Genomic DNA, 20233 nt, shown 5'->3' with positions numbered 1-20233 from the left:
AAAAAAAAAAAAAAAAAGAAAGAAAAAAATTAGCGGGGCTTCGTGGTGCATACCTGTAATCTCAGCTACTCCGGAGGCTGAGGCATGAGAATCGCTCGAACCCGGGAGGCAGAGGTTGCAGTGAGCTGAGATAGTGCCACTGCACTCCAGCCTCAACAATAGAGCAAGACTGTGTCTAAAAAAAAAAATCATCAAGTAGAACCATGGTAAATTGGGGACCATCTGTATAGCTACTATGACCTGCAACATCTTTCCCTTTGCCAAGCATCTATACTTCCCACAAAATTATTGGACCGTTATATATCATTCACTCCGAAATCGCCTTTCAGGACTGTGGTTTACTTTGTGTCCACAATATTCTGCTCCATCACTGTTGCTATGGTTGCATGTTGACCTCACTCAACCACCTGCATGAGCACCAGAAACTCTTCTAGAAAAAAAAAAGCTTTTGACTATTTTCCTTAAAAGTCCTTAAAAATGGTCTTTAAATTGATAGGGGAGCGTCTGGGTTTGTTGTTGTCTTAAAATAGCCTCTACATACAGCTTCTGTAAGTAGAAAAAAGGCCATCTTATCTGTGCCACTGTGCAGTGAGTAAACAACAACAAACTGTTCTTGGCAAACATCTCCTACGTAAGATGCTTCCTTCTTCCAGGTCTTAAAAGGAACACATGAGATGAGGAACCCCAAGAAAATTATGCCTTTAGCTTTTGCTTTTTTTAATGGTCTTGTTCTGTCCTTCAGGCTGGAGTGTAGTGGCACAATCATAGCTCGTCGTAGCCTTGACCTCCTGGTCTCAAGTGATCCTCCCACCTCAGCCTCCTTCCTGAATAGCTAGACAGGCACACGCCACCATACCTGCCTAATTTTAAAAATTATTGTGTAGAAATGAGGTCTTGCTATGTTGCCCAGGCTAGTGTTGAACTCCTGGTCTAAAGGGATCTTCCTGCCTCAGCCTCCCAAAGTGCTGGGATTACAGGCATGAACCATGGTGCCCCACCTGGCTTTCCAGTTCTACGAAGTGGGCGAGCGGCTCACATGTGTGGATACAGCACCTACAGCATCAGCATTGCCTGGAATTGGTTAAAATGCAACTACTCCACTTTGGGAGGCTGAGGCAGGCAGATCACCTGAGGTCCGGAGTTCGAGGCCAGACTGGCCAACATGGTGATACCCCGTCTTTACTAAAAATACAAAAAAAAAAAAAATTAGCTGGGCCTGGTGACGGGTGCCTGTAATCCCAGCTACTTGGGAGGCTGAGGCAGGAGAATCACTTGAACCCAGGAGGCAGAGGTTGCAGTGAGCCGAGATTGCACCACTTTCTAGCCTGGCGACAAAAGCAAGAGCGAGACTCTATCTCAAAAAAAAAAAAAAAAGAAAAGAAAAGAAAAGAAAAAGCAACTACTCAGCTCCATCAGACCTGCTCGCTCAGAAACCCTTGGGGAGGGCCATGTGATCCGTGTTTCCACGAGCCCCCCAGGTGGTTCTGATGATGCAGACTCAGATTTGAGGAGGCCGAGGAAGGATCCTCAGGTGAAGGAGGGAAGGAACTGCCTTTACAGCCGGTGAAAGCACCTGACACAGTTCTCTAGAGCAGGACATACTTCTTGTTTTATCTTTTAAATTCAAAATAAAATCACTTTTGTGTGGGTATAGTCATATTAGTTTTAGAAAAAATCAGCCCATTTTCCAGTGTGCACACACTTTATTCCAAGAATATCTTACCCAAGGCGGAAATTCAAAAATTAAATGCCTAGAGGAAAACTGAAGCATTCGCCATCATTCCTGTCAAGGAAACATTATTAATCTCCATATTACCTTTTATTTTTTGTTTGTATGTGTGTGTGTGTATATGTGTGTTTGGAGACGGAATTTCACTCTTGTTGCCTAGGCTAGAGTGCAATGGCACAATCTCGGCGCACCACAACCTCTGCCTTCTGGGTTCAAGCGTTTCTCCTACCTCAGCTGCCTGAGTAGTTGGGATTACAGAAACCTGCCATCAGGCCTGGCTAATTTTTTTGTATTTTTAGTAGAGACGGGGGTTTCACCACATTGACCAGGCTGGTCTTGAGCTCCTGACCTCAGGTGATCCAAACGCCTCCACCTCCCAAAGTGTTGGGATTACAGGTGTGAGGCACCACGCCTGGCTCATATTACTTTTTAAATCATAATATTTTACAGAGAATTTGATTATATCCATTGACAATAAAAACACAAATATTAATTTTAAATGTTTTATTACACATTTCCTTTGAAATTTTCAATACAATAGTGCATTTTTAATCCGCAAAAAATGTTACAATGGTAGTATCTATGCACACAATAATATAAACATGTAGGAGGTGTGTGTTCACATTTTTGGAAATGGACAGAACAAAGGGGAAGAAGCCTGCACCTCAATACTCAGGGCAGAGATAGGCCCCTCTAGGGCTGCATTTGAGGTCAGCACCAACCGTGTGCAAAGCTGATCTGGGCCTGCTGCAGAAAAGAGGCTAAACTCATGTACCCCACCTGTCCTCACTTTCCTCCTGTCCTCTGTGAAAGGGACAGGAGAATAACGGTCCCTTACCTGCCACTTGGCAGCTGTGGCCCTTGGGCAAGTAAGTCCCTTTCCTCCTCTGAGCCCACTTTCCCAAGGTACTCAGTCACAGAGAGAAGCTAGACCTGAGGGGGATGTTAAGGCCTCCTCCCAAGTGGAGAGTGGTGGACATCCATCAACACCTCCATCGGCACGGAATTAGCTCGTTTTCCAGACCGCCATGATCTATTTCACAGCTCAGTTTAGTGGGGGAAGAACAGGACTGTGCTGGGGCTCCTGGCTAGACCCCAGCTCTGCCTTTTGCTGCAAGCAAGGCCTTGGCCAGGACACAGCCCCTGTGTCCCCAGGTTTTCTCCTCTGTCATATGGGAATGATCCGATAGGGTTATAGGGATGATTAGACTGAACAACAGCAAGGGTATAAAATTGTGCCCAGCATAAGCAATCAGTGGTGTAATAGGTCAGGAGAAGGTGACCTGCAGGGCTCAGCGGTGATCGGGAGAGGTGATCACAATCAGCAGCTGGAGAGAGCCTCCAGGTCTTGGGAAACACTGCATTTCGACACAGGCAGTTTCACAGCATATTCAATTTCAGACACCATACACACCACATGCTTAGGATACCCGGACTTTATGTTGGTGTATTATTCTTTGCAGAAAGCATTTTAGTTTTAGTTTAGGTTTTGTTTTAAAGCCGGACCTGAGAATTAGAAGACAATCCTGGGAAACGTTCAGGCCTCTGCAGGCTGAGATGGGGCCCAGGACTATATCTCTGAGGAGGAAAGAGGAACCCATTGAATTTTGGGGAGTACAGGGAGCAGAGAGAAATTGCACTGGGTGTGCGTGTGCGTGCGTGCATGTGTGTATGTGCGTACACAAACAGAGGGGCTGGAGGAGGAAATCAGCAAGGCCCAGAGAAGGGTAGAGGATCTCGAGGCCCGAAGGGCTGGTACCGCACTTGGCTGGATGGCAGCACAGTGGCCTGAGGTTCATGGGTCATTTTTGCCCCCTCTCCATGCTCACGGACCCTTCATGACTGTCCACAGCTCTGAGATGTGGGCCTTGCCAGCTAGAACCAGGCATGCTCTCTGCCCATTTCTGAGGCAGTCGTTGGGACTGTGGGGCCGTGGACCCCGCCAGGCTGGCCTGTCCCCGGACACTCAGGATGCACTTCGGCCTCCTGGCTCCTGCAGGCACCTGCACGAGCCTCCTTTTGAAGGTAATTTCAGGAGTTGTTACAGCAACACCTGTGAACTGAGGCGGACGACAGGGCCACCACAGAGGTGACACTGTGTGCAGGGAGGGGAGAGGGGAGCCACCTCTAGCTTTGTTTCCTGTGCCCCCAGGGAGTTGCCACTCATAGTGGGCTCCACCCTCCCCCCACCAACATGTTCCCTATCATCCTCCAACAGCCACTGCCACCGTGCCCAGGGCCATCCGCACCGCTGAGTCCTGCACAGACCAGGGACCATCGGTCACCCCATCACTTTGAGTTTCCTTCTGCCTGGGCCACATCCAGATTCTGGGATGGTTTCCACACTCAGCCTCACTTTGCCTTTGACGCGCTATGGCCTAAATGTCAGTGTCTCCCAAATTTGTATGTTGAAGCCTAATTCCCAATGGGAATTCTACCAATGGGGTAGAATGAACAGGTGGGGCCTTTGGGAATGCCCTGAAACCAGACAGACTTTCTGAATAATCCCCTCCTGAAGGAAGGTAGTGCTCTCATCAAACAGGCTCCAGCAACCTCCCTTGTCCCCTTCGGCCACATGAGGACACAGCTAGAGGCACTGCCCTAAGGAATGGGTCCTCACCAGGCACTGAATCCTCAGGCATCTTGATCTCGGACTTCTCAGCCTTCAGAACTTTGACGACATATTTCGAGCGTCAGTAACTCCCCAGGCTAATGCACTTTGTTAGAGGAGCCCACCGGACTAGGACGGGCCCTCCCTTCTCACCTGACGTCACATCCTCCCAGGATCCGCCCCTCACAAACTCATGCGTTGCGGGAATTCCTCGGGTGAAGGGGCCAGGAGAGGACCCTGTAAACTGCTCACAGGCAATCAGAGGTCCCTTAGAATGGGGAGGACAGCAAGCACGACAGGAATCTATCAACAATGCACGACACACAGGACCCCAGCAGACCCTCACAGAAAAGGATCAAAGAGGGGAGGCAGGAGAGGGGACCCTCCACCACAGTGTGACAGCCTCCCACCCAGAACAGGGCAGTGGCAGAAGACGCAGGGAGAAGAGCCAACAAGAAGAAAGTGAGCCAGAAGATGCACCTCTCAGAGCCCAGAGTGGCTCCTGCTGTGTGCAGAGCCCAGGAACACCAGAAATCAGAGCTGCGTCTATGGTCCAAAGGGACGAGTCAGTCATTGACCACATCCTACATCACAAAACAGGGGACTTTTCTAGAGTGAAGGCAAGGAGAGAACCTATTCACCACCCAAGAATGTATTCACCACCGAGGTGGGGAGCAAATATACAAGATTGGCGGGACTGCCAGGCCCCGCCTTTTCCCACAGAGGAAGAGGATGAAGCCACATTCTGCAGGCTCTAGCAGGCTCCGAAGTTGGGGGCTGTGATCAAGAATAGGAAGGTCACACTCAGAGTTGGAAAGGCCCAGAAAACTAGGAAGTCCCCCCGTCAGCTACTGTGCCCCAGGCCACCCCTGTCCACCCACCCCAGTGCCTCCTGTCCCAGGGAGAAGAGTCTCTGGGTCCAGGACCCGAGGTCTGCAGAGACTCAGGAGACACAGAGTCCAGGGGTTCGCCACAAGCTTCATCCGAGGGTAAAATGCAAACCAGGATGAGGCATTTGATTCAGGGTCCTCCTGCACTGAGAAGAGGAAGGACAAGAAGAGCCATGGCCAAAGCAGGGGGAGTCAGGATGAGGCAGAGGCCCAGCTGCAGGCAGAGCCACCTCTGTGGTCCTAACCCGGGGATGCCAGGTTCCTCCGGCCACCCCCTCCCCATACTCCCCAGCTGGCTTGGGAGGAGGCTTGCCATCACTATCCCGAAATTCTGCTCCAACACTACGCATATAGAGCTTCTGACTCTCTAGAAGCAACGTCTGCATACGCCAAGACAACTTGAATGACCCCCACCTAGCACGGCTCTCTAGTGACGCCCTCTGTCTGGCATCAGCTGGACTTCTGTGTCTCTTCTATCAGCCATGCTGGCTGCTGTCAAGGCAGTGCTTGGGTTTAAGGGATCCCAGGACTTTGTGCTCAGAGCGTGCAGGGCTCCACCTCACCCTTCCTGAGCGCCTGCCTGGGCTGCCCACGCACACCTGCGCTGGGGAGGGGCAGAGGCGGCCACACCCACCCACATCTAACCCTTCCTCTGGGCCAGCTGTTCACAGGCCAATAACTCCAAAATGCCACCCGTTCTTCATACATTTCCAAAAGAAGGAATGAAGAATACGGTGGCATGTTCACAAGCCTTTTTCTTCTGGAGGAAAAACAAAACTTTGACCAATGACACAGATAAACCAAATGTCTGCCCTGCTCCCTGACAATCCTTCACTTTCTGCAACCACGTGCAGAGGTGGGTACGGACAAGGCCACTGAGGCTCCTATGAAAATAAACCTCTCAGTCACCTTGAAAGATGGAGACATGCCATGGAGCTTCCTATTTCACCAAATGTGGAGGGGACGTTTTGGTGTGGCAGATCCTGCATTCCAAGAGTAAAGAAGAAACAGGACCCACTGCTGGGACCCGGGGCCAGCAGCCCCAGGAGTCCCTGGGCATTCAGCTGGAGGTGGCTCCCACTGCATTACCACCCACGGTGCAGCAGCCCCCCCGTTCTTCCCTTCTGTCCATCAGGACCCATGGAACTGGGCACCCGGCTCTGGGGTATGGAGAGCACACAGGAGGCCTGGCTCCTCCTCACCCCTGACTCTACAGAATTGAGTCTCAACTCAAGTCCCACATACAGGTCTTGGCTTTCTTTCCTGTTCCAACCCCAGAGAGGGCACCGATGCCCAGAGTGAGGGGACGGTTACTTGACCTCCAGGTGTGGAGCATCCCTGGCCAGCTGCTGGGAACCCCGCAGACCGAGGGTGTGGCTGGTACAGGGGGAAAGTGAGATCCTCTCCTCCTCTCTCCTGCCAAGAGGGGGCCAAGGAGAGAAGGGCCAGGGAAAGGTCCACTAACAAAACTGAGTGGGGAGGAGGGGTGACAGTCACAGCTTTCTACACGGAATCCTGCATGCCACAGGAAGTGTCCCCACCTGCTTCCATGCTGGGAACACAGTATTAGACCTCGGCACGAGCCACATGTCCCTGCCCACCCCTCGCCCAGAGGGGGATCAGGAACAGGAAGGAGTTTCCAGTGCCATGGACAAGCCCCGGGTGAGCACAGGATGGGGGGTCCTGCTGTGGTGGGTCCTGGGCTGACCGGAGCAGGCCCTAGAAGCAGGCGAGGTGCTGTGCAGTCTGCAGCGTAACTCTGAACTTGACAATGAGGTCTCCCCGCTGAGTGCATACCTTGAGGAAGAGAAGCATCTTTCCATGGAGTCTGCCCCATTGCCTGCCAATGGCATTCGTGCCCATCTAGAGGACCAGCCGCCGCCCCTGCTGGCTGCCAATGTCCTTTCAGGCAAACACGGCACCTTGAGAAAATGAGGCAGAGAGTGAGGGAAGGGTTTGAGTAGGAAAGTCACCAGCTGGTACTGACAAGGACACTGAGGGAACAGTGGTTCCATCTGAGCAGAAGTGTGTGCCAGGGCTTCTCTTGGAGCACAAAGACAATGCTGCAGGGATGGCTTCTGGCCTGGAAACTCCCTTTTTGGAAAGTGACCTGTGGCTCCAGGTAGCTGTTCTGTGTGCGACGGTGCTGAATCTTGTCCTTGTCCTTGGTGGGACCCCCTGTGCTCAGGGTGGAGGAGCTCTCTGTGACCTCCCTGGACCAGGTAGCGCCACGGGAGATCCCCTTCAGGCACTCTTGCACACAGGTCTGCCCCGCCATCTGCAGGAAGCGTGCGGTGTTCCCGGCTCTCCTTAGACACTCTCAGCAGCTGAAGTCACTCCAAGCATCCAAGGGAGGCTTCTCCCTGCACCTCTGGGTCATGTGGTCAAGGCCAATGCAGGGCAGAGGAGTGACCGCTGGAAAAGAAGAGCCCAGATGAAGTGCAGTCACCTACCTGAGGCCGGGCTCCCCTGGAAGTCCCCATGAAGTAAGTCTAGGAAGAAACCACCAGAGGGCCCCTAGATACCCAGTGGGGAGGGAAAGGGCAGTGCGGCTCGTCTTCATGGAGCGATTGCTACAGTGCTGGGATTTCATCACGCCTGCTAGCTTCATTAGTTACTATTCCCATGAAAAAGTAACACAGTAATGCAACATTTTATTTTATTTTATTTTGTTAATTTTTTTTTTGGACGGAATCTTTCTGTGTTGCCCAGGCTGGAGTGCAGTGGCAAGATCTCGGCTCACTGCAACCTCCACCTCCCAGGTTCAAATAATTATCCTGCCTCAGCCTCCCCAGTAGCTGGGATTACAGGCACCCGCCACCATACCTGACCAATTTTTGTATTTTTAGTAGAGACGGGGTTTCACCAGGTTGGCCAGGCTGATCTTGAACCCCTGACCTCAGATGATCTGCCCGCCTTGCCCTCCAAAAGTGCTGAGATTACAGGCGTGAGGCACCATGCCCGGCCTTAATGCAACATTTTAAAAATCAAAATTCATGCTAAATATTCCATTGTGAGCAAAATATCCACATTTTAAATCAAGCCATGGTCAGATCCTGTAACTGCAACACTCTGAGAGTTGTACAAGCGTTGGGCACGATGGGAAACTAAATTTTGGCAAATTCCATTCAACCTATAAAGTTGTCACCAAAGAAAAGGAAAAGTACTCACTTGCGGAATGTTCCAGACAGCTCCCAGGCACACTGCACTGCCAGAGATGGGGGATCTGCTCCCCGAGGACTGGGGCTTTTCCAATGAAGGCCATTTTCCAGTTTCGTCTAAAAGCACAGAAGGACTTCGTGAAATGTTTGGCTTCTTCCTAAGGGAAGGAGGTGCCTACAGCGTTGCCATCACTGCTGCTGGCCACAGGAAGATGCGTACATATCGTCCCGCCCTAAGATCGTGTTTTGAAAGTGGGCGACTTTGGAAATTAACTGAGGCTGTAACCGCAGAGCTGACGGGATGGGGGAGCTGCTCTGATGAGTCTCCAGAGCGGCCCGGTGACCGCAGGAGCTCTGAGTCATCAAAGACCGGGGCCAGGGAGCCTGGAAGAGGAAGGGCCCGCTGCTCCCGGGCCACGCCGGGACACATGAGTTAGGGGCAAAATTTAATGCCGCAACAAAGCGACTCATTTTTTTGGAACTGAGGCTGTTCCAGAACTTCTTACTCACTCTCGGCGCCGCCCCCGCGCTTCCAGGCCCCGGACCCGCCGCAAACACCGCTGGGCTTGGACTCAAACCGCGGTCCGGTCCCACCCGGTCTGGTCCAGTCCCGTTGGAGGCGGCGGTTGGGCTCAGCGCCAGGCGCGCGCCCTCTGCTGGCCGTTGGGAAGCGGCGAGGGAAGCGCTGAGCTCGCGGCCGAGCGGTGGTCGCTCGCCCCCTCGCGGGCTCTCCCGGAATCGCTGACATTCTCCGTCCCTTGCTCTCTGCTCCTGGCTGGGGATGCTCCATTTACATGGATTGGAATAGACCTAAGCACCACAATTACAAAATCAGTTATACGGTAATCAAAGCCTCAAAACACCAGGTAACCCATGTTCTAAATCACTGTTTGGGAGACAGCCAAACAGGTGAGTCACCTGATGAGAAATACCTGCCCCAACCTCTTACATGAAAGAAAAATTTGTAATACAATCAAGCTACTGGTCACTGTTTATTTTTATAATACCTACCAGTTTTAACAAAATACCATTCTGAAGAAAGTGTCACAAGATAAGTTCAAACAGAAGAACAGCAAATGCCATTTTATATCATTGTAATAGATCAAAGAATATTACAAATAATATTCATTCAAGGAATACAAATTTTCTTCTCTCTAAACATTTTTGTAACTCATAATGTACAAGATATTGTCAAAATAATTCCATGATTTTGGTACTAATATTTGCCAACCGGGGCAAAAGAGTTGCGATTTCTTTTTGAGCTGGGCAAACCATCTGTATAATTGATTAGAAAGAGCCACAAGTTTAACTTCCTCTACAGTTTTCCTGTGGGAAACGTCACATGAAGGGAAATAAAACCATATTTTCATGTAATGTAATTTTTTTTAAGATGGGGTCTTGTTATGTTACCCAGGCTGGTCTCTAACTTTGGCCTCAAGGGATCCTTCCCCCTCAGCCTCTCACCTCTCTCACCTCCAGCCTCCCAAATGCTAGGATTACAGGCGTGATACATCGCGCCTGGTGGAAGAAGAGCACTTCAATTTCACCCCTAAAAACCTCCCAGGCAAAGACTGTATTTCTTTGCCTTCAGATGGGGGCAAATTTTTGGAAGAACCTTTAGACAGCGATTCCCAAACAGGGACAAAGTAGATTTCCTGCTTTCATCTTCCTGATAGTGATCAAGGCTGGAGGGTAGTAGTTTCTCCAGGAGATCTTATCTCACGCACCACCATGGCCCTCCATGTCCAGCTGGTTGAAGCCTGCAGAATGTGGTGGTGGGAACAGGAGTCTTGGGTCTTCTGGATTTTGAGACTATGTCCTGTTTCCCAAGAGAACTAGGAGCAGGTCTTTGTATTCAGGCCTGACTAAGAGGAGATACTATTCAGATATCTACTATTCAGGTATCTCAAATGCATGAAGATGTCCTTACTTTTAAGCCATGGCTCCAAGGCGTATCCCAGGAAAGGGAGCAGGCAAGGCTGGAGCAGAGCGTCCCCAGCCAGGAGCAGAGAGCAAGGGACGGAGAATGTCAGCGATTCCGGGAGAGCCCGCGAGGGGGCGAGCGACCACCGCTCGGCCGCGAGCTCAGCGCTTCCCTCGCCGCTTCCCAACGGCCAGCAGAGGGCGCGCGCCTGGCGCTGAGCCCAACCGCCGCCTCCAACGGGACTGGACCAGACCGGGTGGGACCGGACCGCGGTTTGAGTCCAAGCCCAGCGGTGTTTGCGGCGGGTCCGGGGCCTGGAAGCGCGGGGGCGGCGCCGAGAGTGAGTAAGAAGTTCTGGAACAGCCTCAGTTCCAAAAAAATGAGTCGCTTTGTTGCGGCATTAAATTTTGCCCCTAACTCATGTGTCCCGGCGTGGCCCGGGAGCAGCGGGCCCTTCCTCTTCCAGGCTCCCTGGCCCCGGTCTTTGATGACTCAGAGCTCCTGCGGTCACCGGGCCGCTCTGGAGACTCATCAGAGCAGCTCCCCCATCCCGTCAGCTCTGCGGTTACAGCCTCAGTTAATTTCCAAAGTCGCCCACTTTCAAAACACGATCTTAGGGCGGGACGATATGTACGCATCTTCCTGTGGCCAGCAGCAGTGATGGCAACGCTGTAGGCACCTCCTTCCCTTAGGAAGAAGCCAAACATTTCACGAAGTCCTTCTGTGCTTTTAGACGAAACTGGAAAATGGCCTTCATTGGAAAAGCCCCAGTCCTCGGGGAGCAGATCCCCCATCTCTGGCAGTGCAGTGTGCCTGGGAGCTGTCTGGAACATTCCGCAAGTGAGTACTTTTCCTTTTCTTTGGTGACAACTTTATAGGTTGAATGGAATTTGCCAAAATTTAGTTTCCCATCGTGCCCAACGCTTGTACAACTCTCAGAGTGTTGCAGTTACAGGATCTGACCATGGCTTGATTTAAAATGTGGATATTTTGCTCACAATGGAATATTTAGCATGAATTTTGATTTTTAAAATGTTGCATTAAGGCCGGGCATGGTGCCTCACGCCTGTAATCTCAGCACTTTTGGAGGGCAAGGCGGGCAGATCATCTGAGGTCAGGGGTTCAAGATCAGCCTGGCCAACCTGGTGAAACCCCGTCTCTACTAAAAATACAAAAATTGGTCAGGTATGGTGGCGGGTGCCTGTAATCCCAGCTACTGGGGAGGCTGAGGCAGGATAATTATTTGAACCTGGGAGGTGGAGGTTGCAGTGAGCCGAGATCTTGCCACTGCACTCCAGCCTGGGCAACACAGAAAGATTCCGTCCAAAAAAAAAATTAACAAAATAAAATAAAATAAAATGTTGCATTACTGTGTTACTTTTTCATGGGAATAGTAACTAATGAAGCTAGCAGGCGTGATGAAATCCCAGCACTGTAGCAATCGCTCCATGAAGACGAGCCGCACTGCCCTTTCCCTCCCCACTGGGTATCTAGGGGCCCTCTGGTGGTTTCTTCCTAGACTTACTTCATGGGGACTTCCAGGGGAGCCCGGCCTCAGGTAGGTGACTGCACTTCATCTGGGCTCTTCTTTTCCAGCGGTCACTCCTCTGCCCTGCATTGGCCTTGACCACATGACCCAGAGGTGCAGGGAGAAGCCTCCCTTGGATGCTTGGAGTGACTTCAGCTGCTGAGAGTGTCTAAGGAGAGCCGGGAACACCGCACGCTTCCTGCAGATGGCGGGGCAGACCTGTGTGCAAGAGTGCCTGAAGGGGATCTCCCGTGGCGCTACCTGGTCCAGGGAGGTCACAGAGAGCTCCTCCACCCTGAGCACAGGGGGTCCCACCAAGGACAAGGACAAGATTCAGCACCGTCGCACACAGAACAGCTACCTGGAGCCACAGGTCACTTTCCAAAAAGGGAGTTTCCAGGCCAGAAGCCATCCCTGCAGCATTGTCTTTGTGCTCCAAGAGAAGCCCTGGCACACACTTCTGCTCAGATGGAACCACTGTTCCCTCAGTGTCCTTGTCAGTACCAGCTGGTGACTTTCCTACTCAAACCCTTCCCTCACTCTCTGCCTCATTTTCTCAAGGTGCCGTGTTTGCCTGAAAGGACATTGGCAGCCAGCAGGGGCGGCGGCTGGTCCTCTAGATGGGCACGAATGCCATTGGCAGGCAATGGGGCAGACTCCATGGAAAGATGCTTCTCTTCCTCAAGGTATGCACTCAGCGGGGAGACCTCATTGTCAAGTTCAGAGTTACGCTGCAGACTGCACAGCACCTCGCCTGCTTCTAGGGCCTGCTCCGGTCAGCCCAGGACCCACCACAGCAGGACCCCCCATCCTGTGCTCACCCGGGGCTTGTCCATGGCACTGGAAACTCCTTCCTGTTCCTGATCCCCCTCTGGGCGAGGGGTGGGCAGGGACATGTGGCTCGTGCCGAGGTCTAATACTGTGTTCCCAGCATGGAAGCAGGTGGGGACACTTCCTGTGGCATGCAGGATTCCGTGTAGAAAGCTGTGACTGTCACCCCTCCTCCCCACTCAGTTTTGTTAGTGGACCTTTCCCTGGCCCTTCTCTCCTTGGCCCCCTCTTGGCAGGAGAGAGGAGGAGAGGATCTCACTTTCCCCCTGTACCAGCCACACCCTCGGTCTGCGGGGTTCCCAGCAGCTGGCCAGGGATGCTCCACACCTGGAGGTCAAGTAACCGTCCCCTCACTCTGGGCATCGGTGCCCTCTCTGGGGTTGGAACAGGAAAGAAAGCCAAGACCTGTATGTGGGACTTGAGTTGAGACTCAATTCTGTAGAGTCAGGGGTGAGGAGGAGCCAGGCCTCCTGTGTGCTCTCCATACCCCAGAGCCGGGTGCCCAGTTCCATGGGTCCTGATGGACAGAAGGGAAGAACGGGGGGGCTGCTGCACCGTGGGTGGTAATGCAGTGGGAGCCACCTCCAGCTGAATGCCCAGGGACTCCTGGGGCTGCTGGCCCCGGGTCCCAGCAGTGGGTCCTGTTTCTTCTTTACTCTTGGAATGCAGGATCTGCCACACCAAAACGTCCCCTCCACATTTGGTGAAATAGGAAGCTCCATGGCATGTCTCCATCTTTCAAGGTGACTGAGAGGTTTATTTTCATAGGAGCCTCAGTGGCCTTGTCCGTACCCACCTCTGCACGTGGTTGCAGAAAGTGAAGGATTGTCAGGGAGCAGGGCAGACATTTGGTTTATCTGTGTCATTGGTCAAAGTTTTGTTTTTCCTCCAGAAGAAAAAGGCTTGTGAACATGCCACCGTATTCTTCATTCCTTCTTTTGGAAATGTATGAAGAACGGGTGGCATTTTGGAGTTATTGGCCTGTGAACAGCTGGCCCAGAGGAAGGGTTAGATGTGGGTGGGTGTGGCCGCCTCTGCCCCTCCCCAGCGCAGGTGTGCGTGGGCAGCCCAGGCAGGCGCTCAGGAAGGGTGAGGTGGAGCCCTGCACGCTCTGAGCACAAAGTCCTGGGATCCCTTAAACCCAAGCACTGCCTTGACAGCAGCCAGCATGGCTGATAGAAGAGACACAGAAGTCCAGCTGATGCCAGACAGAGGGCGTCACTAGAGAGCCGTGCTAGGTGGGGGTCATTCAAGTTGTCTTGGCGTATGCAGACGTTGCTTCTAGAGAGTCAGAAGCTCTATATGCGTAGTGTTGGAGCAGAATTTCGGGATAGTGATGGCAAGCCTCCTCCCAAGCCAGCTGGGGAGTATGGGGAGGGGGTGGCCGGAGGAACCTGGCATCCCCGGGTTAGGACCACAGAGGTGGCTCTGCCTGCAGCTGGGCCTCTGCCTCATCCTGACTCCCCCTGCTTTGGCCATGGCTCTTCTTGTCCTTCCTCTTCTCAGTGCAGGAGGACCCTGAATCAAATGCCTCATCCTGGTTTGCATTTTACCCTCGGATGAAGCTTGTGGCGAACCCCTGGACTCTGTGTCTCCTGAGTCTCTGCAGACCTCGGGTCCTGGACCCAGAGACTCTTCTCCCTGGGACAGGAGGCACTGGGGTGGGTGGACAGGGGTGGCCTGGGGCACAGTAGCTGACGGGGGGACTTCCTAGTTTTCTGGGCCTTTCCAACTCTGAGTGTGACCTTCCTATTCTTGATCACAGCCCCCAACTTCGGAGCCTGCTAGAGCCTGCAGAATGTGGCTTCATCCTCTTCCTCTGTGGGAAAAGGCGGGGCCTGGCAGTCCCGCCAATCTTGTATATTTGCTCCCCACCTCGGTGGTGAATACATTCTTGGGTGGTGAATAGGTTCTCTCCTTGCCTTCACTCTAGAAAAGTCCCCTGTTTTGTGATGTAGGATGTGGTCAATGACTGACTCGTCCCTTTGGACCATAGACGCAGCTCTGATTTCTGGTGTTCCTGGGCTCTGCACACAGCAGGAGCCACTCTGGGCTCTGAGAGGTGCATCTTCTGGCTCACTTTCTTCTTGTTGGCTCTTCTCCCTGCGTCTTCTGCCACTGCCCTGTTCTGGGTGGGAGGCTGTCACACTGTGGTGGAGGGTCCCCTCTCCTGCCTCCCCTCTTTGATCCTTTTCTGTGAGGGTCTGCTGGGGTCCTGTGTGTCGTGCATTGTTGATAGATTCCTGTCGTGCTTGCTGTCCTCCCCATTCTAAGGGACCTCTGATTGCCTGTGAGCAGTTTACAGGGTCCTCTCCTGGCCCCTTCACCCGAGGAATTCCCGCAACGCATGAGTTTGTGAGGGGCGGATCCTGGGAGGATGTGACGTCAGGTGAGAAGGGAGGGCCCGTCCTAGTCCGGTGGGCTCCTCTAACAAAGTGCATTAGCCTGGGGAGTTACTGACGCTCGAAATATGTCGTCAAAGTTCTGAAGGCTGAGAAGTCCGAGATCAAGATGCCTGAGGATTCAGTGCCTGGTGAGGACCCATTCCTTAGGGCAGTGCCTCTAGCTGTGTCCTCATGTGGCCGAAGGGGACAAGGGAGGTTGCTGGAGCCTGTTTGATGAGAGCACTACCTTCCTTCAGGAGGGGATTATTCAGAAAGTCTGTCTGGTTTCAGGGCATTCCCAAAGGCCCCACCTGTTCATTCTACCCCATTGGTAGAATTCCCATTGGGAATTAGGCTTCAACATACAAATTTGGGAGACACTGACATTTAGGCCATAGCGCGTCAAAGGCAAAGTGAGGCTGAGTGTGGAAACCATCCCAGAATCTGGATGTGGCCCAGGCAGAAGGAAACTCAAAGTGATGGGGTGACCGATGGTCCCTGGTCTGTGCAGGACTCAGCGGTGCGGATGGCCCTGGGCACGGTGGCAGTGGCTGTTGGAGGATGATAGGGAACATGTTGGTGGGGGGAGGGTGGAGCCCACTATGAGTGGCAACTCCCTGGGGGCACAGGAAACAAAGCTAGAGGTGGCTCCCCTCTCCCCTCCCTGCACACAGTGTCACCTCTGTGGTGGCCCTGTCGTCCGCCTCAGTTCACAGGTGTTGCTGTAACAACTCCTGAAATTACCTTCAAAAGGAGGCTCGTGCAGGTGCCTGCAGGAGCCAGGAGGCCGAAGTGCATCCTGAGTGTCCGGGGACAGGCCAGCCTGGCGGGGTCCACGGCCCCACAGTCCCAACGACTGCCTCAGAAATGGGCAGAGAGCATGCCTGGTTCTAGCTGGCAAGGCCCACATCTCAGAGCTGTGGACAGTCATGAAGGGTCCGTGAGCATGGAGAGGGGGCAAAAATGACCCATGAACCTCAGGCCACTGTGCTGCCATCCAGCCAAGTGCGGTACCAGCCCTTCGGGCCTCGAGATCCTCTACCCTTCTCTGGGCCTTGCTGATTTCCTCCTCCAGCCCCTCTGTTTGTGTACGCACATACACACATGCACGCACGCACACGCACACCCAGTGCAATTTCTCTCTGCTCCCTGTACTCCCCAAAATTCAATGGGTTCCTCTTTCCTCCTCAGAGATATAGTCCTGGGCCCCATCTCAGCCTGCAGAGGCCTGAACGTTTCCCAGGATTGTCTTCTAATTCTCAGGTCCGGCTTTAAAACAAAACCTAAACTAAAACTAAAATGCTTTCTGCAAAGAATAATACACCAACATAAAGTCCGGGTATCCTAAGCATGTGGTGTGTATGGTGTCTGAAATTGAATATGCTGTGAAACTGCCTGTGTCGAAATGCAGTGTTTCCCAAGACCTGGAGGCTCTCTCCAGCTGCTGATTGTGATCACCTCTCCCGATCACCGCTGAGCCCTGCAGGTCACCTTCTCCTGACCTATTACACCACTGATTGCTTATGCTGGGCACAATTTTATACCCTTGCTGTTGTTCAGTCTAATCATCCCTATAACCCTATCGGATCATTCCCATATGACAGAGGAGAAAACCTGGGGACACAGGGGCTGTGTCCTGGCCAAGGCCTTGCTTGCAGCAAAAGGCAGAGCTGGGGTCTAGCCAGGAGCCCCAGCACAGTCCTGTTCTTCCCCCACTAAACTGAGCTGTGAAATAGATCATGGCAGTTTGGAAAACGGGCTAACTGTATGCTGAGGGAGGTGGTGACGGATACCTACTTCTTTTCATGGGAAGGTGAGGTGTCTCCCTGCCCCCCTCAGGTCTAGCCTCTCTCTGTAGCTCAGAACCTTGGGAAAGTGGGAGGCTCAGAGGAGGAAAGAGATTTACTTGCCCAAGGGCCGCAGCTGCTAAGTGGCAGGTAAGGGACTGTTATTCTCCTGTCCCTTTCACAGAGGACAGGAGGAAAGTGAGGACAGGTGGTGTACATGCATCTTTTCTGCAGCAGGCCCAGATCAGCTTTGCACATGGTGCTGACCTCAAATTCAGCCCTAGAGGGGCCTGTCTCTGCCCTGAGTGAGTATTGAAGTGCAGGCTTCTTCCCCTTTGTTCTGTCCATTTCCAAAAATGTGAACACACACCTCCAACATGTTTCTGTGTATATTATTGTGTGCATAGATACTACCATTGTGAAATATTATGCAGATTAATAATGCACTATGCCATTGAAAATTTCAAAAGAAATGTGTAATGAACATTTAAAATTAATATTTTTGTTCTCAGTTAAGGGTTAAGGGATATAATCAGGTTCTCTGCAAAATACTATGGTTTAAAAATAACAAAGATAATATGGGTATTAATAACATTTCCTCAACAGGAATGATGGAGAATGCTTCAGTTTTTCTGTAGGGATTTAGTTTTTGAATTGGGATTTTGGGTAAGATATCTTTAGGATAAAATATGTGCACACAAGAAAATAGCATATTTTTCCTAAAAATTTGTTTTTTATGCATTATTATATACACATAAAAATGGTCTTATTTTGGCTGGGCACAGTGGCTCACGCGTGTAATCCAAGCACTTTGGGAGGCCGAGGCAGGTAGATCACCTGAGTTCAGGAGTTGGAGAACAGCCTGGTCAACATGGTGAAACCCCATCTTTATTGAAAATACAAAAAACATTAGATGAGCATGGGGCGGGCACCCATAATCCCAGCTACTTGGGAGGCTGAGGCAGGAGAATCGCTTGAACCTGGGAGGTGGAGGTTGCAGTGAGCCAAGATAGCGCTGTTGCACTCCAGCCTGGGCAATAAGAGCGAAATTCCATCTTAAAAAAAAAAGAAAGAAGTAGTTTTATTTCAAAATTAGAAGCAAAAAGAAAATAAATATATCCTGCTATAGAGACTTGTCTTCGGATGCTTATGACCTCCTGTAAATGCAGTTCCTCCCTCATCCCCGTCTAAGCATCCTTCCTCAGCCTCCTCAAATTGGAGCCTGCGTCATCAGAACCACGTGGAAGGCTCTAAAAACATTGACGGCATAGAGGGAGACCCTATCTCCAAAAAACAAAACAAAAAAACCCTTTATTTTTAATGGGATAAAAAGTTAAATGGTAGTTAGATATTCAAGTTTTGTATGCTCCATGAACAAACAAACAAACAAACAAAAAAACATGACACTTGATGGAGACTGCAGGCCTGCGTTCTGTACCTGGCTTTGAGGGAGTGATTGGATGGGATGGTGTGCTTCCTGTGCCTGTCCTGTCTGCTCTGGGTTTAATTTACTCTCAATTGGCCATTGTTCTTTCCATGATCTTATTTTCCAGGCATTGTCCTAGGACCCAAGGTCTCTTACATTCTTACATGTAACAGTAAGAATTCTTACAATAAGAATTGAGAGAGTAGAAGCTATTTTTTCCTATGACTTAGAACTTTGGGGGAAGTTTAAAGGGAGATACTGCATGTATTCTGTGTCATCATCTAATTTCTACAGACCCTTCTTAAGGAACTGACATTAATGTTGTACTTAATTCTTCAGGCAGTGTGGGCCAAGAATAAAGCCAGATATACATTTAGTCTAAAAGTACAAGTCATATTATTTCCATCAGTGGATTCCTATAATCCTATGAATAAAATCTTATACATTGGCTTATAAGAGACCCATTGATTCACTATTAATCACTATATTTCTGTTCTTACTGGGCTGAAAAAAAATTGAAATTTAACCTGATGTGTTTCCTGTGCTTTGAAATCTTACTTTGTTTTCATGGTTCTCTTGCCTATTTCTTACCCCACTGCACACATAGAAGAAAGAATATCAATAGCGGCAGTTCTTATCAATCAGAAAACAGGTTAAAAGCCATTCTGGTTCTTGGGCTAAGTCTCAGTAGCAGAGAGAAATAGAAGAGGAAAGGTATGGGATAGAAGTGTATTCACTACCACTCTCTCTGATCAAACCTTGGAGGGGAGCAACGGAGTCCCAGATGTATCCAGGAAGGGGGTCTTGCTTATAGTTTTCACAGCATTGCCTGGGATACAACAGATAATTCCTAGTTGCTATTGTGGGCTATGAATGAGCTAGAATGGGTTCTATATGTCAATGTGGCGGGTGCTGGAAAATTATTTTTAATGATTACATTTTCTTTGACATGTAGTCTCCATTGTTGCTACAGATGGAGAAGAGAAACAGGAGGATTGCATACAGAAAATATATATAGCCAAGTACAAACATGGCATCCATGACTTTTCTTCATGTTGCATTGAGCAAACTCACTCATGGGGCCCCAACTAACTGCAAGGGATGCAATATTTTGCTGTGTCCAAGGGGAAAGTGAATTGGGCTTGGTGAACATATAGCATAGACTCTACTGCAGAGTGGTCTTTAGGTCACCAAAATTCATGTTTCTCTTTCCCCCTCAGGTAGAGCACATTCACTATATCTCCAAAGAAGATGTTAGGAGCCAGCCAAAGTATTATCTAGTAATGCATCCACATCAGTGTTCTGGAACGTGGGGTTGGTCATGTGTACTCTTCCCCATAGTGGCTGGATGTGGCTCTGTGTATATTGTGGAGACAAGGTAATGATGATAAAGACCCCCACTCAGATAGGGATAAATAGGAAACACACAGCAATTTTTATTGCCTACTGGGTGAGCATTATAAAATGTGAATATTTTCCTCAATGAAAAGTAAGAAGAGAACTAGGTTCTCATGAAAAAGTGGCAAAATGGTTTTTACAAACTCTGGCGACTCATATATTTTAAAGTTGCCTAATCAACTGAAATGTATGTATGTAAGCATGGGTATATTCACTAAAGCCTAGAACTAATGATGACCTTAGCAGCAAAGGAATAAAAATATGTTCAATAATTAGTCAGATTGATTGAAATTTGTTTTTTTGTTTGTTTGTTTTTGAGATGGAGTCTTGCTCTGTCGCCCAGGCTGGAGTGCAGTGGCACAATCTCGGCTCACTGCAACCTCCGCCTCCTGGTTCAAGCAATTCTCCTGCTTCAGCCTCTCAAGTAGCTCGGACTACAGGCATGTGCCACCACACCCGGCTAATTTTTTGTATTTTTAGTAGAGACAGGGTTTCACCATGTTAGCAAGGATGGTATCAATCTTCTGACCTCGTGATCAGCCCACCTCGGCCCCCCAAAGTGCT

The 20233-nt window shown here is 50.6% G+C and overlaps 2 long non-coding RNA genes across 2 annotated transcripts; one reads left to right on the top strand and one right to left on the bottom strand.

The window, feature by feature from the left end:
- Positions 1-2218: 2218 nt before the first annotated feature.
- Positions 2219-9169, bottom strand: FAM225A (family with sequence similarity 225 member A). Its single transcript, NR_024366.1, has 3 exons — positions 8902-9169; positions 8402-8508; positions 2219-7645 (listed from the first exon to the last, which is right to left on the bottom strand). It is a non-coding gene; the product is annotated as a family with sequence similarity 225 member A (long non-coding RNA).
- Positions 9170-10387: 1218 nt separating this feature from the next.
- Positions 10388-17342, top strand: FAM225B (family with sequence similarity 225 member B). The gene is made up of 3 exons (NR_024376.1): positions 10388-10655; positions 11049-11155; positions 11912-17342. It is a non-coding gene; the product is annotated as a family with sequence similarity 225 member B (long non-coding RNA).
- Positions 17343-20233: the final 2891 nt, after the last annotated feature.

Source organism: Homo sapiens, chromosome 9 (assembly GCF_000001405.40).
Source record: "Homo sapiens chromosome 9, GRCh38.p14 Primary Assembly".
NCBI classification, from domain to species: Eukaryota; Metazoa; Chordata; class Mammalia; order Primates; family Hominidae; genus Homo; species Homo sapiens.
This window is presented reverse-complemented; position numbering and strand designations above follow the sequence as displayed.